This window comes from Homo sapiens, chromosome 9, assembly GCF_000001405.40.
Source record: "Homo sapiens chromosome 9, GRCh38.p14 Primary Assembly".
Classification (NCBI taxonomy): domain Eukaryota; kingdom Metazoa; phylum Chordata; class Mammalia; order Primates; family Hominidae; genus Homo; species Homo sapiens.
The window spans coordinates 124,857,880-124,878,186 of NC_000009.12; the positions used below are offsets into that span (position 1 = coordinate 124,857,880).

Genomic DNA, 20,307 nt, shown 5'->3' on the forward strand with positions numbered 1-20,307 from the left:
CAGTCTCAGCCAGCTGTGCTTTATTGACAATGCGCCCCTCAGGCCTTGACCGCGTACTTCCGCAGCGGGTACAGCCGCTCCTTCCGCTGCTGCTTCTTGGTCTTCAGGTTCTCCTCGTGCTTGTTGAGCCGGCGGCGCATGGCACGTGTCTTCTTAGGCCGCAGGTCCAGGGGCTTGTACTTCTTGCCCTGGGAGACAGACGGCAGGGTGAATCCAAGGACCCAGGGCTGAGGAGCTACTGCAGCAGCTAAGGGGGCTGGGGAGGGCCATCCAGAGCCACTCAGGAGGAGGCTGCCACCATGGGACTGCCAGCAGGCCACACATGTCACTAACTCAATTAATCCCCCCAAATCTAAGGCTGGTGGGACCATCCTCATTTCATGTAAGTCTGCTGACCTACTGGGCTGAGTGTCCAAGTCTTGGCAAAGCTGTGGAAGAGCCGGGGCTTGCATCTCAGTCAAGTGACTCCCAACTCAGTGCTCCTTCCACTGCCCGATTCCCAGTCACGAGGACAGTCACATGACAACCTAGTACAGGGCACGCAGCACCCACCAAGCCCCGGGGGTAGTTACCATTACCTCGGCTCTGGTTAGCAAGAGCATGCTGGGGGCTGAGGCAGTACTCTGTCCATCTGTATGCAGGGCCCACCAGCTGCTGCCTGTATGAACGTCCAGCCTCAGAGGCCTGGCTGGCCAAGGCCACTTGCCCCACCTGCTTCCGGCTTTGGGGCCCCTGCCCACAGCTGTCACAGAGCCATCATCTGTCTTTCCATCCTTGGCTCCCACTCCTGCCCCACTTGTTCTCCAGCAGGGGGTTCTAGACCATGGCAGCTCTCACTGGTCTCTCCTGTGTTCTGCAAAGGTCCCCTGGGCCCCCTTCAGGACTGGGCCCTGTGCTGGGAGCTGGCTTGGCAAAGGATCTGACCCAGTCCCTGCTCAGGGGTCCCAGCCTAGTGGGGGAAGACTGAACAGGTAACAAGTGGCCCATGGTATGGGGGATTCTGAGGTCACAGGGCCCCAGGCCCCTGCAGGTGGGCAGAGGACTGCAGAAAGATCCTGGACAATGAGGGCCAGCCCTGGAGGGTACTTGGAAGCAGGAAAGTCTTTGTCCTCCCACATCCCTCACTCCTGCTGGCATCGGCTGGGCATTCGTCCTTTTCACATTGGCTAACCCCCTAGAGTTCTGCTGTCCAACAGAGCAGCCACTAGCCACACACGTAGCTGCTGACATTAAAGGTTTACTTTTGCCACACACGTGCTAGTGTCCCCTGAACAGCTAACATAGCCACACTATGGCCCTTCTCATTTTTTTGAGATGAGGCCTCACTATGTTGCCCAGGCTACACTTTAACTCCTGGGCTCAAGCCATCCTCCTGCCTCGGCCTCCCAGTAGCTGGGGTTATAGGCCTGTGGCACTTCATCAGCCATGGCTGCTTTTCCCTTGTGTCAAATCTTCAAGTTATTCAAACACAATTTGGGTAGTGATGTGGAACCATTTTGCAGATGAAATTAAAGACCCTCATCAGGTAACTTTAGGGGAGATTATCCTGGGTAATCCCAGAAGGCCCGATCCAATCAGCTGTAAGTCTTAAGCACAGGGCTGAGGCTCCCTCCAAGTACCCACTGGGAACAGCAGCTTCAACCTGAGCCCTGAGTCCCAGCCAGCCCCCACAATCACCTATGCCCATTCTTCAGAATACATTGGATGCATGTGCACACACCGTCTCCCCCTAGTTTTCTCTGCTTGAACCCCAATAAGATGAATGTTAAGGACAAGACCAGAAAATGGTTATCAAAATTCAAGACTAAGAGGGGGCCAGACACCTGTGCACACCTCCCAGAACACTAAAGCCGACCCTCCCCAAGGTAAGGTTTGGAACCAGGGCCCATCATGCCATTGACTGTGGGTGTCTAGGCCTCAGGGCCCTCATCTGAAAAATGAGCATGGCAGGTGCCTGGCAGGGACTGACACCCAGTGCCAGTAAGAGGCAGTGAAAACCTTCAACAGCCAGTCCTATCACTGCCCAAGCCACTCAACTGGGAAGGCTGGTTTCAAAAACTGAGTCTCCAGCCAGGACACCCCAAGCCCCAATGAATTCTTGACATCTGCAGCCTGAGGAAGTGGTCTGCAGAGCCACGTGCCAGTGCAAGACACTGGTAGAAGAGTGAGCCCAGCAACAAATTGGGAAGGCTAACCACTCTCAGCCCACGCACCAAGAAAAACCTCTTTACCATGTCCCCGGCCAGGGACGGCTAGCACTTGGCTTCCTGCAGCCAACCCTCCCTATGTCCAGGCAGACTCACCTTGTAGAATTTCCTGAGGTTTTCTTTCTGAGTCTGGTTAATAACTGTGAGAACACGGGCAATGGATTTCCGGACGACTCGGCTACAAAACAGAGATGTCAGTGAAGATAGGGAAGACACATAGCACTACCCAAGACTCAGGACTCACACATAGGGCAGCAATAGCTGCAGCCTCCCCCATCAACCCATCCATATTCACTCAGGAGGAAGGCGTTCTGGGAGTGAGGTCTGAGGAGGGAAGAGAGGGGCATGGGAGAGACAGCAGAGGCTTTATGAGGAAGTGCAGGCTGGATAAATGAGGCAGATCAGAAAAAGACCTTCAATCCCAGAACACGAATTTATCCTGAGGGCTAAGACCCAACCAATGCCAATTTCAATGAGCTGATGGGAAGGAATCATGCCACAAACCAGGCAATCAGGCTAGCTTAGGGAACTGCAGGAGAGAGAAACAAGACATTTGCAAAGTGGAGTCACTACAAGCCAGGAGACTGAAGCAAACAACGAGCCAGGGAGAAGTTATTTGTAGTCATGTCAGGATGAGGGAGTCACCTAGTAGACAGCTGGTCAACATGGTTTTTGAGGATTCAGTGTGCAACTGTGCTTGTCCAATCCTCCCACCCCTGCCTCTACTAAGGTTGTTTGGGGGCAAAGAGGGCAACCACCATTTTTTTTTTTTGGAGACAGGGTCTCACCTGTCAACCAGACTGAAGAGCAGTGGCCCCATCATAGCCTCCCAACTCCTGGGCTCAAGTGATCCTCCTGCCTCAGCCTCCAGAGTAGCTGGGACTACAGGCCTGTACCACCACACCCATCTAATTTTTTTTTGAGAAGTGGACTTTGTACCCAGGTTGATGAACTCCAAACCCATGTTCCTTTCACAAGTCTCCCGCACTCTTAGCCATGTAAAATAACTTACGCTGCCACTCCAGGGTGCAAGCCACCCACCTGCCAAGGGGGTTAAAAACTCAAGTGTTGGTGGGAAGCGGAAGGAAGGGGTCCGGGTAGGCTTTGAAGGCAGCATTAAGATGGGTCTCCGGGGATGCATTCCAGGCACAAGGACCGCAAGGTCAAGGCAGGTAAGAGGCTAAGCACACAACGGGTCTCCCATGCGCGCCAGGATGCACGGAGTGGGCATCTAAGCGGCCAGCTCCTTAAGCCAACTTTGAAATCCTCCGACGATCCCGATGCACACGTGCTCCCCACCCACGAGGGCTGTGATCCGGCCGCCTCACTTACATCTTAGAGAGCTTGGAGGCCGCACCGCCTGTCACTTTGGCGACGCGCAGCTGGGACAGCTCCACCTTCAGGTCGTCCAGCTGTTTCAGCAGCTCCTCCTTCTTCTTCCCGCGAAGATCTCGAGCCTTGATCTTGGCCTGCGCGCAAGAGAGAGTGTGCCTCAGCCAGGCCGCGGGGCCATATCCCCTTCACCTGCGTGGCCAGCCCCCAAAGGCGCGCGACTCGCCATCGACTACGAGTGCGCCGGAGCCCCAACCAGGGCTCAGGACAGTCTCCCTCGCCGGCCGTGCCTTGGGCAGAGTAACCCAGGCCCGGGCCGCGCGCCTCTCCCGGCGCCAAGCGAAGAGGCGGGTTGTGGTGGCGCCAGACCATTCTGCGCGGCGCCCCACAGGCCTAGGTGGCAGATAGAATCCGCGGGCTCAGCCCGCACCGCCTTCCCCAACCCCCGCGCCTCACAGCGCTCGGATGGCGCCCGATTCCGCAGCTCTCACCATTGCTGCACAAGCCGCCAACGCCGCCGCCCGCTCCGAGGGAAAGAGGAAGTAGGCGGGGCTGACCTCCGCAACTACTGCCGGGTGGCGGCGGGCGCGGCCAATGGCGCCGCAGCGGGGGAGCCCCGGCTCCGCCTCATCTCCCCCGCCCCCGAGGAACGCCGTGGTACTGCCCGCCCCGCCTGGTAGGGCCGGAGCCCCGCCTTGTAGTGCTCGCCTCATTCACGGCACCCCTGATAGCGAGGTCGGCGTCACGGTGTAGGCGCGCAGTTGGGGAAACCGAGGCCCAACGTGGGCGGCAGCTACCAGAGATGGCACACGGAGGACTCAAATTCGTCCATTCAGTCATTCGTTCATTCATTCCTTCGGGAAACCTTGCAGATCTCCCAATCTGGGCAACTCTGAGCTGGGCGCCAGTAGTCTGGGGGTGCTGACGGGAGGAGGGGCCAGAGTTTTCAAAGACGATTAACCGAGGCTCACGTCGCGGAGGAATTTAAAGCGCGAGATGGACGGGAGGGGCGGGCTCAGGCAGTTATAATCCAACTCCATAAAGGTTCTGGGGAGGCAGTATATGGAACTGCAAAGAGCATTTACACCTTTTTTTTTTTTTTTTTTTTTGAGACAGAGCTTCATTCTGTCGCCCAGGGTGCCAGGCTGGAGTGCAGTGTCGCGATCTCGGCTTACTGCAACCTCCGCCTCCCGGGTTCAGCGATTCTCCTGCCCCAGCCTCCCGAGTAGCTGAGTAGCTGGGATTACAGGCATGCACCACCACGCCTGGCTAATTTTTTGTATTTTTAGTAGAGACGGGGTTTCGCCATGTTGCCCAGGCTGATCTTGAACTCCTCAGCTCAGGTGATCCCCTCGCCTCGGCCTCCCAAAGTGCTGGGATTACAGGCGTGAGCCACCACGCCTGGCCCCAGCCTTTATTTATTTTTTTTATTTTTTAATTTTTTTTTTCAGACAGGGTCTCGCTCTGTCACCCTGGCTGGAAGGCATGGCGCGCTCTCCGCCCACCAAAACCTCCGCTTCCCGGGTTCAAGCAGCCCTCCCACCTCAGTCTCCCGAGTAGCTGAAACTACAGGCACAAGCCACCAGGCCTGGCTAATTTGTTTATTTTTTGTAGAGCTGTTGCCCAGGGTGGTCTCCTGGGCTCAAGCAATCCGCCCTCCTCGGCCTCCCAGAGTGCCTAGGATTACAGGGGTTAGCCACCTCGCCTGGCCATACAGCCTTTTTTATTTTTATTTTATTTTTTATATATTTTTTGAGATGGAGTCTGGCTCTGTCGCCTAGGCTGGAGTGCAGTGGCGCGATCTCGGCTCACTGCAACCTCCACCTCCCGGGTTCAAGAGATTCTCCTGCCTTGGCCTCCCCAGTAACTGGGACTACAGGTGTGTGCCACTACACCCAGCTAAATTTTTGTATTTTTAGTAGAGACAAGGTTTAGCCAGGCTGGTCTCAAACCCCTGACCTCAAGTGATCCACCCGCCTCAGCCTCCCAAAATACTGGGATTACAGGTGTGAGCCACTGCGCCCGGCTAGTACAGCCTTTTTTAAAGTGAACCTGACCAGGTTTCAAATTCTTGCTCTGCTGCCAAGGTAGTAGTTGAGACTCTTGGGAAATCTCTTCCCCTTTCTTGAGTCTCAGTTTGCTCACATGTGAAATGAGGCATTTATGAGAATTAGAGGAGATATCTGTAAAGCTGTTAACCCGAAATCTGACGCATAACAATGGCTCAAAATATCATTGGTGTTCATGTTCCCAGAGGAAGGAACACTTCAGTAGAGCCCGGAAAGTGAAACGGGAATTCACAAGGCAGGGCATGTTTAGGCTTTCTGATTAATGTCTGCCAACCAGTAGGCATTAATCAGCACTCCAGTGCCACTCCCTTGCCCTTAATAAAGACATGCCACCTCTTAGAGTTATGGTTGAAGCCAGATTGTCCTCTTGTTACTACCAGCTGTAACCACCCACAAGGAGACTTCTCCCATCTCCTATGAGTAGCAACCTCTGTGCAATCCTTTCCTTAGCCCCAAACAGGCTGAAATAAAATGATGCATTTATGTGTCTATTTCCACAGCCAACCTAGAAGTTCTCTGGGGACAGAACCTTGGCGGACAACTGAATTAATTGTTCTAGTCTCCAGGCCCAGTACATGGATGCTTGTTGGATGAATTAATGAACCTTGACCCACACCAAGGTGAGGAAGGCTTTCAGGAGGTGGAGGGATATGGGGAAAAAAGAGAGTAGAGAGAGGGCAATCCCGGCATGGCTTAGACTTTTTTTTTTTTTTTTTGAAATGGAGTCTTGCTGTGTCACCCAGGCTGGAGTGCAGTGGCACAATTTCAGCTCACTGTAACCTCCACCTCCCAGGTTCAAGCGATCCTTGTGCCTCAGCCTCCTGAATAGCTGGGATTACATAGGTGCGTGCCACCATGCCCGGCTAATCTTTGTATTTTTGTTTTTTTCCAAAATGGAGTCTTGCTCTATTGCCCAAGCTGGAGTGCAGGGGCACAATCTCGGCTCTCACTGCAACCTCTGCCTCCCAGGTTCAAGCGATTCTCCTGCCTCAGCCTCCCGAGGAACTGGGAATACAGGCATGCACCACCAAGCCAAGCTAATTTTTGTTTTTTTAGTAGAGACGGGGTTTCACCATATTTCACCTGGCCACCATGTTGGCCAGGCTGGTATTGAACTCTTAACCTTGTGATCCGCCTGCCTTGGCCTCCCAAAGTGCTGGGATTACAGGTGTGAGCTGCCGCGCCTGGCCCATCTTTGTATTTTTTGTAGGGACGGGGTTTCGCCAGGGTGGTCTCAAACTCCTGACCTCAAGAGATCCGCCTGCCTCAGCCTCCCAAAGTGCTGCGATTACAGGCATGAGCCACGGCGCAGTGCGCCTGGACCTTTTTTTTTTTTTGAGACTGAGTTTCATTCTTGTTGCCCAGGCTGGAGTGCAATGGCACAATCTCGGCTCACTGCAACCTCTGCCTTCTGGGTCCAAAGGATTCTTCTGCCTCAGCCTCCCAGCCTGCCTACAGCTACTGTAATCCAAGTAGCTGGGATTACAGGTGCCGCCATGATGCCTGGCTAATTTTTATATTTTTAGTAGAGACGGCATTTCACCACGTTGGCCAGGCTGGTCTCAAACTCCTGACCTCAGGTGATCCACCTGTCTCGGCCTCCCAAAGTGTTGGGATTACAGGTGTGAACCACTGTACCTGGCCGGCATAGCTTAGTCTTAAATGAAAGTCTAGGCCGGGCGTGGTGGCTCACGTGGTGCACGCCTGTAATCCCAGCTACTCTGGAGGCTGAAGCAAGAGAATCGCTTGAACCCAGAGGCAGAGGTTGCAGTGAGCCGAGATCGGGCCATTGCACTCCAGCCTGGGTGACAAGAGGGAAACTCTGTCTAAAAAAAAAAAAAAAAAAAAAGGAAAGTCTAATGGTGCACAGTGCCTTTGCTGTTATATTTTTAAATGCTTAGAGTTAATGACTCTGCACATCTTTTTCGAACCTGAAGTCATTTGTGACTCTCTCTTACACGCCACATCTAGTCAACCAGTAAATTCCAGGTACTCTACCTTCAAAATTTACCCAACTTAAGGCCGGGTGAGGTGGCTCACGTCTGTAATCCTAGCACTTTGGGAGGCCAAGGCAGGTGGATCACCTGAGGTCAGGAGTTCGAGACCAGCCTGGCCAACATGGTGAAACCGTGTCTCTACTAAAAATACAAAAAAAATTAGCCGGGCATGGTGGCGGGTGCCTATAATCACAGCTATTCGGGAGGCTGAGGCAGGAGAATTGCTTCAACCCAGGGGGCAGAGGTTGCAGTGAGCCAAGATTGCGCCACTTCACTCAAGCCTGGGCGAAAGAGCAAAACTCCATCTCAAAAAAACAAAAAACAAAAAAAACAAAATTGGGACTGGGCGTGGTGGCTCACACCTGTAATCCCAGCACTTTGGGAGGCCAAGGCGGGCAGATCATGAGGTCACGAGTTCGAGACCAGCCTGACCAACATGGTGAAAACCTGTCTCTACTAAAAATATAAAAATTAGCCAGGCGTGGTGGTGTGCACCTGTACTCCCAGCTACTTGGGAGGCTGAGGCAGGAGAATCACTTGAACCCTGGAGGCGGAGGTTGCAGTGAGCTGAGGTTGGGCCACTGCACTCTAGCCTAGGCGACACAGTGAGACTCCCTCTTAAAAAAACAAAAAAACAGGTCAGGCGCAGTGGCTCACGTCTGTAATCCCAGCACTTTAGGAAGCCGACGCAGGTGGATCACCTGAGGTCAGGAGTTTGAAACCAGCCTGGCCCACATGGTGAAACCCTGTCTCTACTAAAAATACAAAAATTAGCCAGGTGTGGTGGCAGGTGCCGGTAATCCCAGCTACTCCAGAGGCTGAGGCAGGAGAATCACCTGAACCCTGGAGGTGGAGGGTGCAGTGAGCTGAGACTGTGCCACTGCACTCCAGCCTGGGCAACAGAGTGAGGCTCCATCTCAAAAAAAATGAATAAAATAAAACAAAATAAGAAATTGGTGGGGCACGGTGGCTCATGCCTGTAATCCCAGCACTTTGGGAGGCCGAGGTGGGCAGATCACCTGAGGTCAGGAGTTCAACACTAGGCCAGCCAACATGGAGAAACCCCGTTTCTACTAAAAATACAAAATTAGCCAGGCATGGTGGCGCATGCCTGTAATCCCAGCTACTCGGGAGGCTGAGGCAGAATTGCTTGAACCCGGGAGGCAGAGGTTGCGGTGAACTGAGATAGCCCCATTGCAGTCCAGCCTGGGCAATAAGAGCAAAACTCCGTCTCAAAAAAATTAAAAAAAAATTTACCCAGCTTGTTCCCACCATCCTCATTGGCCCCTGCCTGGTTGGGCTACCACTGTCTGTCCCCTGGATGGTTGCTGTCACCATCTAAATCACCTCTCTACTTTGGTTCTCGATCCCAGATGTGTTCTCAATACAGCTGCTTAGAAGGCCCTTTTCAAACAATTCAGACTTCTGATCTATTACTGTTCTGCTCAGAATTTCCAGGGCTGTCCCATTTGAATTAAGACTGAGTCCTTTCCTCGGCCTACAGAGCCCTACTCTCCTCCCAACCCCCACCTCATCTCTCTTCTGTTCCTGGCTGTTTCTCGAATATACTGAGCCCACCCCAACCTCTGAGCCTTCGCTTAGTTGCCTCCTTCATTTCCTTCCAGTCTCTGTCTAGTGTCACCTCCTCAGGGACACCTTTTTTTTTTTTTTTTTTGAGATGGTATCTCACTCCATCGCCCAGGCTGGAGTGCAATGGTGTGATCTCAGCTCACTGCAACCTCTGCCTCCTGGGTTCAAGCGATTCTCCCCGCTCAGCTTCCCGAGTAGCTGGGATTACAGGTGTGCGCCATCATGCCTAGCTAATTGTTGTGTTTTTGTAGAGATGGGTTTTCACCATGTTGGCCAGGCTGGTCTCGAATTCCTGACCTCAGGTGATCTGCCCCCTGGGCCTCCCAAAGTGCTGGGATTACAGGTGTGAGCCACTGCGCCCGGCCAGGACACCTCCTTTGATCACTTTATCTAAGGCACACTCAGGCACTGCATGGTTTTTTTCCCTCTCAACACTGTCAGCCCTGACATCGTATAATATGGATTTTTAAATTGTGTCTCCCTGGCTGGAATGAAAGTCCATGACCATGAGCTGGGACATTATTCCATTTACTAGTTTCTTTGGGGGCTGTTTCTTTACTTGTAAAATGGGCATTTCTGGGTTCAAGTTCCTTCTGACCAGGATGTTCTGGGGATATGAATTTCTGCTGTCTCGTGGCAGACCTGAATCACAAATATTTTTTCCCAGATATGGAACTGTATTGCAGGTGGGCTTTGCATGTTTCCAGGACCCCTGAGACTTTTCTTTTCTTTTCTTTTTTTTTTTTTTTTTTGAGACGGAGTTTTGCTCTTGTCGCTCAGGCTGGAGCGTAATGGCGCGATCTCAGCTCAGTGCAACCTCTACCTACCGGTTTCAAGCGATTCTCCTGCCTCAGCCTCCCGAGTAGCTGGGATTACAGGCATGCGCCAGCACGCCCGGCTAATTTTGTATTTCTAGTAGACACGGGGTTTCAGCATTTTGGTCAGGCTGGTCTCAAACTTCTGACCTCAGGTGATCCGCCCACCTCGGCTCCCAAAGTGCTGAGGATTACAGGCAGAGACTTCTTCACCACTAGTTTCCCACTATGGGAGTCTGTATCCTTACCACCGAAGATAAGGTTGCATCATAGTCTGGCAATATTTTTTTTATCTTTAGACACAGTTCAATGAGAGGTATTCGAAGCAGCAAAAATGAATCACATTCCAACTACTGACTTTTATTAAAAAGAGTACTATTAGATGAAAATAGTTTTCACACTATTATATAAAAAGACCCATTTTACTTACCCTAAGGCTAAGATCAATTAACAGAACCCCTGGGATAACAGCCCAGGCACCAAATCTGGCACCTCAGAGTCGTCCTTGACTTCCCTAAACCGCTTTCCCCCATCTCAGATTCTGAGAATTTGGTTTCTGTCAAGATGTGCCTCTCCAGCCAGGCCTCTCCTGCCAGGACGGTGGCCACAGGGCCATCTCCCTCTCCTGGCGCCCCCAACTGCCTGGCCAAGGTGACTGCTACACACGTGGGGTCGCAGAATCCCTCGAGTCACAACGTCTTCAACGTCTTGTCAGTCCCGTGATCGCACTAAACGTATTTAAAGCCCCCTACTCCTTTAAGAGGGTCACCTCTGTGTACAGGCGGCCTCCTCGTACTAAGTGTGGTGGCGTTCAAGGCTCCGAGACACAGGCGCCTCCCGCGCCACTCCCCGGGCACAGGAACTCCTACTCATCCCTCAGTCATCAGCTCGAAGGTTTCTTCTCCAAGAAGCCTGCCCGGCACTCGAGAAGTAGAGCCGCGAGCCTTCTCCCGGGGGCCCAGCCTTCCCCAGTACCGGCAGGGATCACCCCGGGAGCACGCGCCCGGCCCCGCTGAGGCCAGGGGCTCCTCGGAGGCGCGGGAAAGCCGGGGAACCAGCGCAGTTACGGCACACACGAGGCGGGGCCTGCACAGATGCCGGGCGCCCGATCCTCAGTGACAAAATAGAGACTCCGTGGAAGGGACACTGAGGTGGGGGAGGCTGCGGTGATCCCATACCGCACTCCAGGTGCCAGGCTCCGCCCCGCCCCTGACGGCGCTTCCGGATCCGGCGGGTGCCGGAAGTGGGCGGGCGGCGGCGGCTGCGCGCGGAGGCGGTGGAGGAGGTGCTGGGAGCAGCCGGGCAGCCGCTTCCCGCCCCCGAGCAGGAGCCGGTGCGAGCGGAGCAGAGCCGAGGTCGGGCCGCGAGCGGAGCCGGCTGAGCGGGCGCCGAGCTCCCGCCATGGCCCGGAACACGCTGTCCTCGCGCTTCCGCCGGGTGGACATCGACGAATTTGACGAGAACAAATTTGTGGACGAGCAGGAGGAGGCGGCGGCGGCGGCGGCGGAGCCAGGCCCGGACCCGAGCGAGGTGGACGGGCTCCTGCGGCAATATCCTTCCCTGACGCGGCGTCCGGGCCTGCGCGCGGCCTTCTCACCTTCCCACCTTCCCACCTTCTCGGGCCCTTTCGGGCGGGCCTCCCCTGTCTCCGACCCTTGGCCCCCTCAGGTCAGCCTCCAGCTCCCTGCCGACCCGGCTTCCCTGGGCCGTGCTCCCTTGAGTCCCAGTCTCCCTGGGTCCCTCGTCCCCAGCCCTGGCGCCTTCTTCTGCAGCGCCGTCCCGCAGGCCCCTGGACCCGGTGGACGGGCTCCCTCGGCACCCCCGCAGGTCCCGCGCCCTCTTCCCTCCTTGCCTCCTCGTCCCCTCACGCTGTCCCTTCCTTGGGGCCCCAGCACTCCGTCCCTCCCTTGCAGGAAATCGGGCCTATGGCGGGGCTGGGTCGGCGGCAGGGCGGAGGTGAGCCGCATCTGAGTAACCGAGTGATCGGGGAGGCTGGGGCGCGGTCCTCCGGGGCCCGATTGCTGCATGGCGTGAAGATAGGTGGGTGGACGGCTGTGGGGAAGACAGAACCCAGGAGGGAGTGGAGGCGGCCGCCGTATTTCAGCCCTGGGGTCTGAGATTGTGTCTCTCTTCCCCCAGTCAGTCTAACCCTCCCGCTTAATGCTGAGAAAGGGGGACCCTGTGGTTCCCCTGGACACCTTGGTGGTCTCAGCCACGCTCAACAAGTGAGTCTTGGCTCCCCCCAGTACCCTTCTGGTGCAGGAAGCAGCGGAGAAAACTAGTAGTTCAGAGCTAAGAAAAACCAGACACCTTGAAGCGAAGTGTGAAAGTGGAGCCCCACGCCTGGAAATGACTGTTCTTGTGGCCACAGAAAACAGCATTTAGAAAAGATTAAAAATAGAGGTGATTGTCACAGCCTTGCTTGGTCCTTTAGCAGTATGAGCGCAGGAAACTGACTTATTCTCACCGGAAGGATTTTTCTTTATTCAAATGGTGTTCCAGGAAGCCTGTCCCCTCCCCCCGCACGGGTGGGGGCAGGGTTGGAGGCCCATGCTGTACATAAATCAGGTTCTCGGTGTTGAACCAGTTGACTCAGCTTGGAAAGTGGGGCCTGCTGCTTTAGGGGGAGCCCGGCAGTGCTCCTGAGTGTGCCTTTAAACCGAAAACCTTCAGACTTGATTTGAACAGGAATGTGTTTTCCGAAGTGGAGATTCAAGCTTGTAATTCCTGCCCCATCAGGATCTCCCAATCCACCCTCCTTATGAAATGGGGTCAAGGGAAGGGTCCCCAGGAGGGAAGGTTGGTTGTAGTCTGGTGTAGGGCCTAGTTCATGGACAGTCAGTGCTGAAAGGGGCTCCAGGGTCAGGCCTTTGGCCCAGGACTCTCATTGAACAGATGAGATCAAGCCTGTCAGCTGCTGCCTTGGTCTGGGTGCAGAACCTTGTTGAAGGTCATGTCTTGGGACTCCCCTGCCTGGTGACAGGTTCCTTGAGGCTGCTTAGAGGCCTGGGCTTAGCACATCCAGGGGATGGTCGTTTCTCCATTCATGGCAGCGTCAGAAGCGTCAGAAACCTTGTTACCATGGAGAGTGCTCCACTTGGGGTTGGGGAAAGGGAGGTTAACGGATAAAGGTAACTGAAACCCTGGCAAATACGGGGCCCAGGTGGAGGAGAATGGAACTGATATTTATTGAGTCTCTATCATGTACCAAGAATCGGACTTATATTAGACCATTGAGGACAGGGGAGCAGGGAGAGGGATAGATGGATTGGGGTTGGGGAGGGCAGAGAGGGGCCCTGTCCTGGGGCTGTATAGGGAAGTGTGTGTGGCAGGAGATGACACAGATGGAGTAGAAGGAACCCGGCTGTGCATCTGCGCACACCCTGCACTACCATGCTCTGGCTCTGTGACCTCGGATAGGTCGCATACCCTTTCACAACTCAGCATCTTCTGTTACGTGGCGGACAGCCATGCTGGCTTCCTAGATTCCGTGGGAGCCTCATGGGCTAACATCAGCATCACTGGGCACACAGCAAGTGTCCTGGACATGCAGCTCGGGTCTGCAGATAGAGCGGCAGCATGGGATTGTGGGAGGAGCTTGGGTGTGAGGGCCGTGTAGACAGCTTAGTTTTGTGACCTTGCGCAGGTAATTTCTGTTCTCTGAGCCTCAATTCCATTGCCTTTAAAATGAGATAATGATTATTGTCACAAGGATTTTTGGAATGAGATGGCGTGTGAAAGCACCTGGCACAGGATCCGAGACCTTGTGGCGATTTAAAAGTATGAGTTCCTTTCCCCTTCAGTGAAGCAGCTTCTATACTTCTGGATCAGGGCTCTGTCCAGAGCAGTGGTTGTGAGCGATTTTGCACCCTTCCCCTCCACCCCCAGGAAACTGGAGACATTTTGATGGTTACAGCTTGGGGATGCCACTGGAATCCAGTGGGCAGAGGCCTATGACACACAGCTAAGATCCCACGTCAGAGAATCCTGGGTCCACAGTGTCAGTTGTGCCGTGATTGAGGAAGATCTAGAGGAGATCAAGGGCTGGGCAGGATTCCCTCAGCACCACAGCCTGTTCTCTGAAAAGGCCTAAAGCCAGCCAAGTATGACAGCCGGCTTCACAAATGATAGGTGACTTCAGGGAGGTCCTCCCTGCGCCCCACATCTCCCAACTGCTGAAGGCCCTCACCCATCAATGGGCCGAGTGATTGCTGGACGCGTGGTGCTGAGTTAACGCCACAGCAGTAGCTTTTTGCCCCCGTGGACTAGTTTTATACCTGCCCTTCCCCATCCATCATTTGAATGATGTCATTTGTTAGTTGTGCCAGGTTTACATGAAGAGCAAGTGAGCCTATGTTTTCTGTTCAGCCTATGGGATCCTGCTTATTGCTTTGGGGACACCACATTAGAAAAGAGTTACAAGGGCTGGGCGCGGTGGCTCACACCTGTAATCCCAGCACTTTGGGGAGGCCGAGGCGGACAGATCACGAGGTCAGGAGATCGAGACCATCCTGGCTAACACAGTGAAACCCCGCCTCTACTAAAAATACAAAAAAAATTAGCTGGGCGTGCTGGCGGGCGCCTGTCGTCCCAGCTACTCAGGAGGCTGAGGCAGGAGAATGGCATGAACCTGGGAGGCGGAGCTTGCAGTGAGGCAATATTGCGCCACTGCACTCCAGCCTGGGCGACAGAGCGAGACTCCGTCTCAAAAAAAAAAAGGAGTTACAAAGTAGAGGTTATCAGTGGCTGATATCAGGCTGGCCTTGTTTGGATGGGGAAAAGGAACTCCAGAACTGAAAGACAGAGGGACTGGACTGCCTCTTGAGTGTGGAAGGTGGATCAGAGCCAAGCAGGGAGCTGGGGAACCAGCGCTGGGAGTGGCTTGCCTGGTGGCGCAGACCCAGCTCACTCAAGATGGATCTCATACTGGGGAAGCCAGGAGATTCAGCTCTGCTCCGAAGGCCCTTCCTGTCTGCACGTGGGTATCACTGCATGAAGAGGAGTAGAGACCCGATTGGGCAGAAGCCATTCCTTGTTCTATTTTTGAAGCTTTTTGGCTGAAGCCAGTGTTTCATACGAGGAAATGAAAGTTGGCTGATGTAATTCAGTTTAAAATAGGTGTCACCTTTGGGGACCTAACCCAGATTGTAATTTTCTTTTGCATGCTGGGTATTCAGAACTCAGCAAAGAATGTGTTGTCAGGATTGCAACTGAGGTTGGGGGGTAAGGGTGGAGACTGGCTCATTGTTGGCAAAAGCTTCTGTTAGATTGATAAACTCTTTCCAGGTAACAGTTGGGACCTCATTGATCCCGATAGATCTTAGAAGTTCTAGCACATCTTAATTTCCTTAATAGTTTAATTGATGAAGAGCATTGATGAAGAGTTAGGAGGTCTCCCTTTGTACCTACATTTTCCGCTTTTTTAGAATGAGAAGATGAGAACGACCTCCAGTTCACATGTACGGGTGCTGTGAGGATCCAGTAGGGGAGATACAGTGCTCAGCACCAAGCAGGTGCAAGTGAGCACAATCCAATTTTACATCAAGTTACCCCTCCAGGACAGTTGCTTTGACGTGGAAGGTAGAGAGGGAGTTGAAAGGAGGGTTTGCATGGTTGGCAGAGGTGCCCTGCAGCCTCCCTGTGCAGGCTGTAAACCGTCTCTGCCCCCCTGGAAGCCGTGGAAGGTGGGTGGTATGGATGAGATCCCATCTGACTCTGTTCCTGAGCTGTTTCTGAAGTGAGCTTGTTCATGACGGCATGGATGTGCTTGAGCCTAGCTATCCTTAACTGGTGGTGATGCACAGGGGACATGCTTCGGGCATTCCATGCAGCCTTGCGGAACTCTCCCGTCAACACCAAGAATCAAGCTGTGAAGGTAAAGGGGTGGCGCTGCGGCTCTGCTGGGTGCTGTTGGGACCAGGGCTGTGGGTGTCTGCCCAGTGCGAGTGTGAGCTTTCATCCACATCAGAGGGAGTGAGTTGGCACTGGGCGGGGCTTCCAGGGAAGCCTCCTGGCGCTCCCTAGGTGGTGAGGCTTCTCTGACATCAACGCTGTCAGCGTTTATATACGAGAACCTCCCCACAGAAGCCTTCACTCCTGCTCACGGCCTCGTAGGCTGAGAAGTCAGCCTGGCCCTGGCTGATGAGGAAAATGGATGAATTCGCTCACCTGTGGTGCTTATGCTCCCACAGACTGTTAAATAGGCTTTGTCTGCCTGAGGATTTTAAGTACCCGTACGCTTTCCTACCTTCTAAAAACTAAATTGTGCTTACTGCATCACCAAGTCTAAAATTTGGTTCAGAGAAAGGGGTCTCCCTGCAGCTGGGATTCTGGCAGCTGTGACAGCATCTTGATGTCACCAGTGGCTGCACCTTCACAGAGTTCTGGGGAATGGCCCCACCCTTCTGGGTGTGAACACAAGAGGGACGCTGCAGCCGAGTCAACCTGGTTTTATTTTTATTTTTTAATAGTCCACCACCATTGTGGAGTATAATAAGGCCTTATTGGTGTCATCTAAAATAGTGATGGGCTGGGTGCCATGGTTTATGCCTGTAATCCCAGCACTTTGGGAGGCAGGAGGATCGCTTGAGCTCAGGAGTTTGAGACCAGCCTGGGCAACATAGCGAGACTTTGTCTGTATTAAAAAATAAAAAAAATAATTAGCTGGGCATGGTGGCATGTGCCTGTAGCCCTAACTGAGGTGGGAGGATTGCTTGAGCCTGGGAGAGGCTGCAGTGAGCTGAGATTGCACCACTGCACTCTAGCTCAGGCAACAGAGCGAGACCCTGCCCCTCCCTCCCTCTCTCCCTCTTTTCTCTTCTCTCTCTCTCTCTCTCTCAGAGTTGATACTTGTCCTAGTAAACTACTTACTCCCCCAAAATAAGTAGGGTAACTTGTTGGCATAAATAAAAGATACTTTGAAATTTAAATCCACAAAAGACGTTCTAACCCACTTATTTTAACCATCCTGGACGAATTAGAAACTGGGCAGTGTTTCTGGTGATCTGTGTCCTTGCTTTGGTGTGGGGCATGGCATGGCGGTGCCTTCGCAGCTCTGGGACTCACTTGCTCTTTTTCGTCTGCAGGAGCGAGCCCAGGGCGTGGTGCTGAAAGTGCTCACAAACTTCAAGAGCAGTGAGATTGAGCAGGCTGTGCAGTCACTGGACAGAAACGGCGTTGACTTGTTAATGAAGTACATTTATAAAGGCTTTGAGAAGCCCACAGAAAATAGCAGCGCAGTGTTACTCCAGTGGCACGAAAAGGTATGTGAACGCTGCCACGCGCCCCAGTGAGCCACCTGGCTTGCCTTGGGGTTCGATCAGCAGGCCAGATTTTCCAGAACAAACGTAGGACGGTCTGATAGGCGTGTGGGGTCAGAGGACGAGCCCCAACCTGGGACATGTCATCACTTCCCTCTCCCAAGGAAGCTCCTGGTAGGGACCTGCTGTCTGTGGTAATTGCAGTTACTTTTTTGCTTTTTAGCTGCCGATTTATGTCAGGCAAGACAGGGTGCCCTTGGTACAGGACATGTGGGCAGATAACATGGCATAGTAAGGTGGTCAGGGAGTCTAGGTAGGAAGGGGGCCTGCTGGTTGGTTGGGGCTTCATGATACTTGCAGTGGTGGAGGCAGCTGTTGGGGGTTCTTAGAAATAGAGTCCTCCAGCCAGCTCTAAGGGCTTCCTGCCCTGGCCTCAGCCTTAGCAGGCCAGAGTGAGCAGTGGGCAGAAACCTTGACCTCACTTAATATGGCCTTCGTCCAGGTGAAGCAGAAAGAGCTGTGTCTGCCCTTCGCTTGGGTCCGTGTGAGAGCAAGGCCTTTGGCAAGCCTGTGTCGTGCCTGTACCACTGGGGCTGCCTCCCACACCCTCCCCTGCACACCCCTAGTGCCGCAGTAAGCACGCCCACCATTAAAGCAGACCAGGAGTTACTAACCTGCCTGCCTTCCTCAGAGGCTCAGTGTTGAGTTGGAAGAGAGGGGTTTTACAGTGGGCCAGTCCTTAAGGTGGTGTGGGTGCTGGGCTGTGGTTGTGGCCTTAGGTCTGCTGGCGGGTGTGCTGCACCTCCTTGGCCTCCCCTCTCCTGGGCTCAAGGAAGTAAACAAGTCCTCTGTATGATGGGGAGGCCAGGACCTCTCGTCCCTTTAAGGCAGCTTGGTGCCTGCCAGTCACCTCAGCGGGCGGCAGTCAGTGGGCTTGTGTGCATCTGTAAACTCAGCACTTTGGGAGGCTGAGGCAGGAGGATTGCTGGAGCCCAGGAGTTCAAGAACAGCCCAGGCAATGTAGTGAGAACCCATCTCTACAAAAAAATAAACTAGGCTGGGTGCGGTGGGCTCACGCCTGTAATCCCAGCATTTTGGGAGACGGAGGCAGGCGGATGACCTGAGGTCAGGAGCTCAAGACCAGCCTGGGCAACATGGTGAAACCCCGTCTCTACTAAAAATACAAAAATTAGCCGGGGGTGGTGGCGGGCGCCTGTAATCCCAGCTGCTCGGGAGGCTGAGGCAGGAGAAGCGCTTGAACTGGGGAGGCAGGGTTGCAGTGAGCCGAGATCGTGCCATTGCACTCCAGCCTGGGTGACAAGAGCGAAACTCCGTCTCAAAAAAAATAAATTAGCCGGGCCTGGTGGTGCACACCTGTGGTCCCAGCTACTCAGGAGGATGGCTTCAACCCAGGACATCAAGGCTGTGCAGTGAGCTGTGATCTGGGCAACAGAGTGAGACCCCATCTCAAAAGGGAAGCTCGAGGGCTCTGCTTTGTGTGCTGGTGACAGTGTTCTCAAGCCAGTTCTGCCCAAGAGCCAACAGCTCTCGGGACCCCACGGCTCCAGGACAGGGCTCCTTCCCTAGAATGTGCTCTATCTCAGGAATCCTCTTTCGAGGATCTGTGACGGGATCTAGGTCAGGGAATGTCCCCCCTGTCTCTGGCAAGCCAGGCTCCCCTTGGCCAGCCAGGTCTCATCTGACACGTTTTCTTTTCCTGCCCCCACAGGCCTTAGCAGTAGGAGGACTAGGCTCCATTATAAGAGTTCTTACAGCAAGAAAGACTGTTTAAAAAAAATAAAAAGACTCATGTTACCTTGAGAAGAATTCTGGATGCCCAGGCTGGTGAAGAAGGGATTGACAATGGACCATCTTCCTAGGAACTCCCAAGTAAACTATTTCAGGACATGTATCTGCTGAAATGTATTTTATTTTCAAGGTGGAGGGGAAAATCGTCTGTTTCCTAAATCCTGTTTAGGATCTGATAGTCTATGCCTTTGTCTCCGAGTACTGCAGAACTGACATTTTGACGGTCTACCAGCGTGGCGGCTGGTGTTGGTCAGATGCACCTGTGTGCACTGGGGGAGGGATGGTTTGGGCAGGTGCAGATCCAAGGGCTGTGGTAAACGGGAGAGCTTGTGTTTTTGAAGTGGAAAAAAACCCAAGAGTTTGTACAGACATCCTGTCTTCCCAGAGAAGGTGGACACTCTTGGGCTCATTGTAAAGTGCCTGCTGCATCAATAAAGCTCTTGGCTTATTAGTCTATACATTGCGGTGTGTTTCGTGTATGTAAAAAAAAATGGTAATGAATGGGATGGTAATGAATGAGAGTTCAGTTGTTGTTCCGGAAACCCGATGTGGAAGGAGTAGACCTGTGTCCCTGTTGAGCCACCCCTGGGAGCGAGCATGGCAATCCACAGGCCCTCTGCCACAGGACGCCAGCCTCGGCCTCAGAGCTGCCGGCTGCTGCAGAGAGGTGTTTGCTGAATAAACTATTTATTGTTTCTTATTCCTTTGATTTGTATGTAATTAATTTTGGAGCTTATTTAATTAATTTAATAAAGTGCCAAACATTTAATAATTGATCTAGGCTTTAAAAGTCTTCAGTTTGTGGGATTGCACTTGGAATCTTTTGAGGGTGGGGCCTCAGATGTGCCTGGTCACGTCTCCTGATGCTGGGTTGGCTGTGCTGCAGAATCACTGCTGCATGGACAAGCTTTCTTTAAAGAACTAAACGTCAGAAATGGGGAGCAATCAATCAGCAAATAGATGGTATAATTTGGTTCCCCATAACCAATAACAGAGCTTCTCTGAAGGGCAAAAATGCTTTTCTTTCCTTTTCAGCACATGTGACTGCAGCTTGCATTCTGTTAAAGGTTAGGGCCCCATTCACACTCCAGAAGCTCCTCTGGGTCATACAGCCTTTGGATACAGACTTTGACCAAAGTGACACAGTCCTCCCCTCCACAGCTCTCCCCTCCTCAGTCCCTCTTCAGAACCACTGCAATTCTTGGGGGGGGTAGAATGGGGCTGTTGGC

The 20,307-nt window shown here is 53.4% G+C and overlaps 2 protein-coding genes across 6 annotated transcripts, besides 16 other annotated features; one reads left to right on the forward strand and one right to left on the reverse strand.

Annotated features, from left to right (window-relative positions):
- Positions 1 to 3: 3 nt before the first annotated feature.
- Positions 4 to 4,078, reverse strand: RPL35 (ribosomal protein L35). Its single transcript, NM_007209.4, has 4 exons — positions 4,031 to 4,078; positions 3,540 to 3,676; positions 2,304 to 2,385; positions 4 to 188 (listed from the first exon to the last, which is right to left on the reverse strand). The coding sequence occupies exons 1-4, from the start codon at positions 4,031 to 4,033 to the stop codon at positions 39 to 41; spliced, it is 372 nt and encodes a 123-aa protein (NP_009140.1). The 5' UTR covers positions 4,034 to 4,078; the 3' UTR covers positions 4 to 38.
- Positions 666 to 948: a silencer, noted in NCBI's record as "fragment chr9:127620824-127621106 (GRCh37/hg19 assembly coordinates)". NCBI's record gives its function as "represses an EF-1alpha promoter that drives an FKBP-Casp9 reporter gene in an ReSE screen in phorbol 12-myristate 13-acetate-treated (for megakaryocytic differentiation) K562 erythroleukemia cells {active_cell/tissue: K562(+PMA)}" and the evidence as "EXISTENCE:reporter gene assay evidence [ECO:0000049][PMID:32094911]".
- Positions 1,589 to 2,090: an enhancer, noted in NCBI's record as "H3K4me1 hESC enhancer chr9:127621747-127622248 (GRCh37/hg19 assembly coordinates)". NCBI's record gives its function as "activates a minimal SCP1, AML or CMV promoter by ChIP-STARR-seq in naive H9 embryonic stem cells {active_cell/tissue: H9 hESC(naive)}" and the evidence as "EXISTENCE:reporter gene assay evidence [ECO:0000049][PMID:30033119]".
- Positions 2,091 to 2,590: an enhancer, noted in NCBI's record as "H3K4me1 hESC enhancer chr9:127622249-127622748 (GRCh37/hg19 assembly coordinates)". NCBI's record gives its function as "activates a minimal SCP1, AML or CMV promoter by ChIP-STARR-seq in naive H9 embryonic stem cells {active_cell/tissue: H9 hESC(naive)}" and the evidence as "EXISTENCE:reporter gene assay evidence [ECO:0000049][PMID:30033119]".
- Positions 3,579 to 4,202: an enhancer, noted in NCBI's record as "NANOG-H3K27ac-H3K4me1 hESC enhancer chr9:127623737-127624360 (GRCh37/hg19 assembly coordinates)". NCBI's record gives its function as "activates a minimal SCP1, AML or CMV promoter by ChIP-STARR-seq in primed H9 embryonic stem cells {active_cell/tissue: H9 hESC(primed)}" and the evidence as "EXISTENCE:reporter gene assay evidence [ECO:0000049][PMID:30033119]".
- Positions 3,579 to 4,257: a biological region, named in NCBI's record as "NANOG-H3K27ac-H3K4me1 hESC enhancer GRCh37_chr9:127623737-127624360".
- Positions 3,638 to 3,687: an enhancer, noted in NCBI's record as "active region_28991". NCBI's record gives its function as "activates an Ori minimal core promoter by ATAC-STARR-seq in GM12878 lymphoblastoid cells {active_cell/tissue: GM12878}" and the evidence as "EXISTENCE:reporter gene assay evidence [ECO:0000049][PMID:35858748]".
- Positions 3,728 to 3,837: an enhancer, noted in NCBI's record as "active region_28992". NCBI's record gives its function as "activates an Ori minimal core promoter by ATAC-STARR-seq in GM12878 lymphoblastoid cells {active_cell/tissue: GM12878}" and the evidence as "EXISTENCE:reporter gene assay evidence [ECO:0000049][PMID:35858748]".
- Positions 3,988 to 4,257: a silencer, noted in NCBI's record as "silent region_20269". NCBI's record gives its function as "represses an Ori minimal core promoter by ATAC-STARR-seq in GM12878 lymphoblastoid cells {active_cell/tissue: GM12878}" and the evidence as "EXISTENCE:reporter gene assay evidence [ECO:0000049][PMID:35858748]".
- Positions 4,251 to 19,854, forward strand: ARPC5L (actin related protein 2/3 complex subunit 5 like). 5 transcript variants are annotated; one of them, NM_030978.3, is made up of 6 exons: positions 4,251 to 4,519; positions 6,109 to 6,228; positions 10,549 to 11,560; positions 15,813 to 15,885; positions 17,096 to 17,272; positions 18,999 to 19,854. In NM_030978.3, exons 3-6 carry the CDS (start codon positions 11,412 to 11,414, stop codon positions 19,059 to 19,061), a joined length of 462 nt encoding a protein of 153 aa, NP_112240.1. In that variant the 5' UTR covers positions 4,251 to 4,519; positions 6,109 to 6,228; positions 10,549 to 11,411; the 3' UTR covers positions 19,062 to 19,854. The 5 variants fall into 5 exon arrangements, 4 of the variants coding, with proteins under 4 accessions (NP_112240.1, XP_047279897.1, XP_047279895.1 ...); XM_047423941.1 differs by lacking the exons at positions 4,251 to 4,519; positions 6,109 to 6,228 and adding an exon at positions 11,924 to 11,966 and having other exon boundaries at positions 11,315 to 11,678; positions 15,788 to 15,885; XR_007061359.1 differs by lacking the exons at positions 4,251 to 4,519; positions 6,109 to 6,228; positions 17,096 to 17,272; positions 18,999 to 19,854 and adding an exon at positions 11,924 to 13,656 and having other exon boundaries at positions 11,315 to 11,678; positions 15,788 to 15,870.
- Positions 4,278 to 4,497: an enhancer, noted in NCBI's record as "active region_28993". NCBI's record gives its function as "activates an Ori minimal core promoter by ATAC-STARR-seq in GM12878 lymphoblastoid cells {active_cell/tissue: GM12878}" and the evidence as "EXISTENCE:reporter gene assay evidence [ECO:0000049][PMID:35858748]".
- Positions 10,587 to 10,666: an enhancer, noted in NCBI's record as "active region_28994". NCBI's record gives its function as "activates an Ori minimal core promoter by ATAC-STARR-seq in GM12878 lymphoblastoid cells {active_cell/tissue: GM12878}" and the evidence as "EXISTENCE:reporter gene assay evidence [ECO:0000049][PMID:35858748]".
- Positions 10,967 to 11,536: a silencer, noted in NCBI's record as "silent region_20270". NCBI's record gives its function as "represses an Ori minimal core promoter by ATAC-STARR-seq in GM12878 lymphoblastoid cells {active_cell/tissue: GM12878}" and the evidence as "EXISTENCE:reporter gene assay evidence [ECO:0000049][PMID:35858748]".
- Positions 11,797 to 11,846: a silencer, noted in NCBI's record as "silent region_20271". NCBI's record gives its function as "represses an Ori minimal core promoter by ATAC-STARR-seq in GM12878 lymphoblastoid cells {active_cell/tissue: GM12878}" and the evidence as "EXISTENCE:reporter gene assay evidence [ECO:0000049][PMID:35858748]".
- Positions 12,067 to 12,506: an enhancer, noted in NCBI's record as "active region_28995". NCBI's record gives its function as "activates an Ori minimal core promoter by ATAC-STARR-seq in GM12878 lymphoblastoid cells {active_cell/tissue: GM12878}" and the evidence as "EXISTENCE:reporter gene assay evidence [ECO:0000049][PMID:35858748]".
- Positions 12,967 to 13,016: an enhancer, noted in NCBI's record as "active region_28996". NCBI's record gives its function as "activates an Ori minimal core promoter by ATAC-STARR-seq in GM12878 lymphoblastoid cells {active_cell/tissue: GM12878}" and the evidence as "EXISTENCE:reporter gene assay evidence [ECO:0000049][PMID:35858748]".
- Positions 14,655 to 15,155: an enhancer, noted in NCBI's record as "H3K4me1 hESC enhancer chr9:127634813-127635313 (GRCh37/hg19 assembly coordinates)". NCBI's record gives its function as "activates a minimal SCP1, AML or CMV promoter by ChIP-STARR-seq in naive H9 embryonic stem cells {active_cell/tissue: H9 hESC(naive)}" and the evidence as "EXISTENCE:reporter gene assay evidence [ECO:0000049][PMID:30033119]".
- Positions 14,853 to 15,082: an enhancer, noted in NCBI's record as "active region_28997". NCBI's record gives its function as "activates an Ori minimal core promoter by ATAC-STARR-seq in GM12878 lymphoblastoid cells {active_cell/tissue: GM12878}" and the evidence as "EXISTENCE:reporter gene assay evidence [ECO:0000049][PMID:35858748]".
- Positions 19,855 to 20,307: the final 453 nt, after the last annotated feature.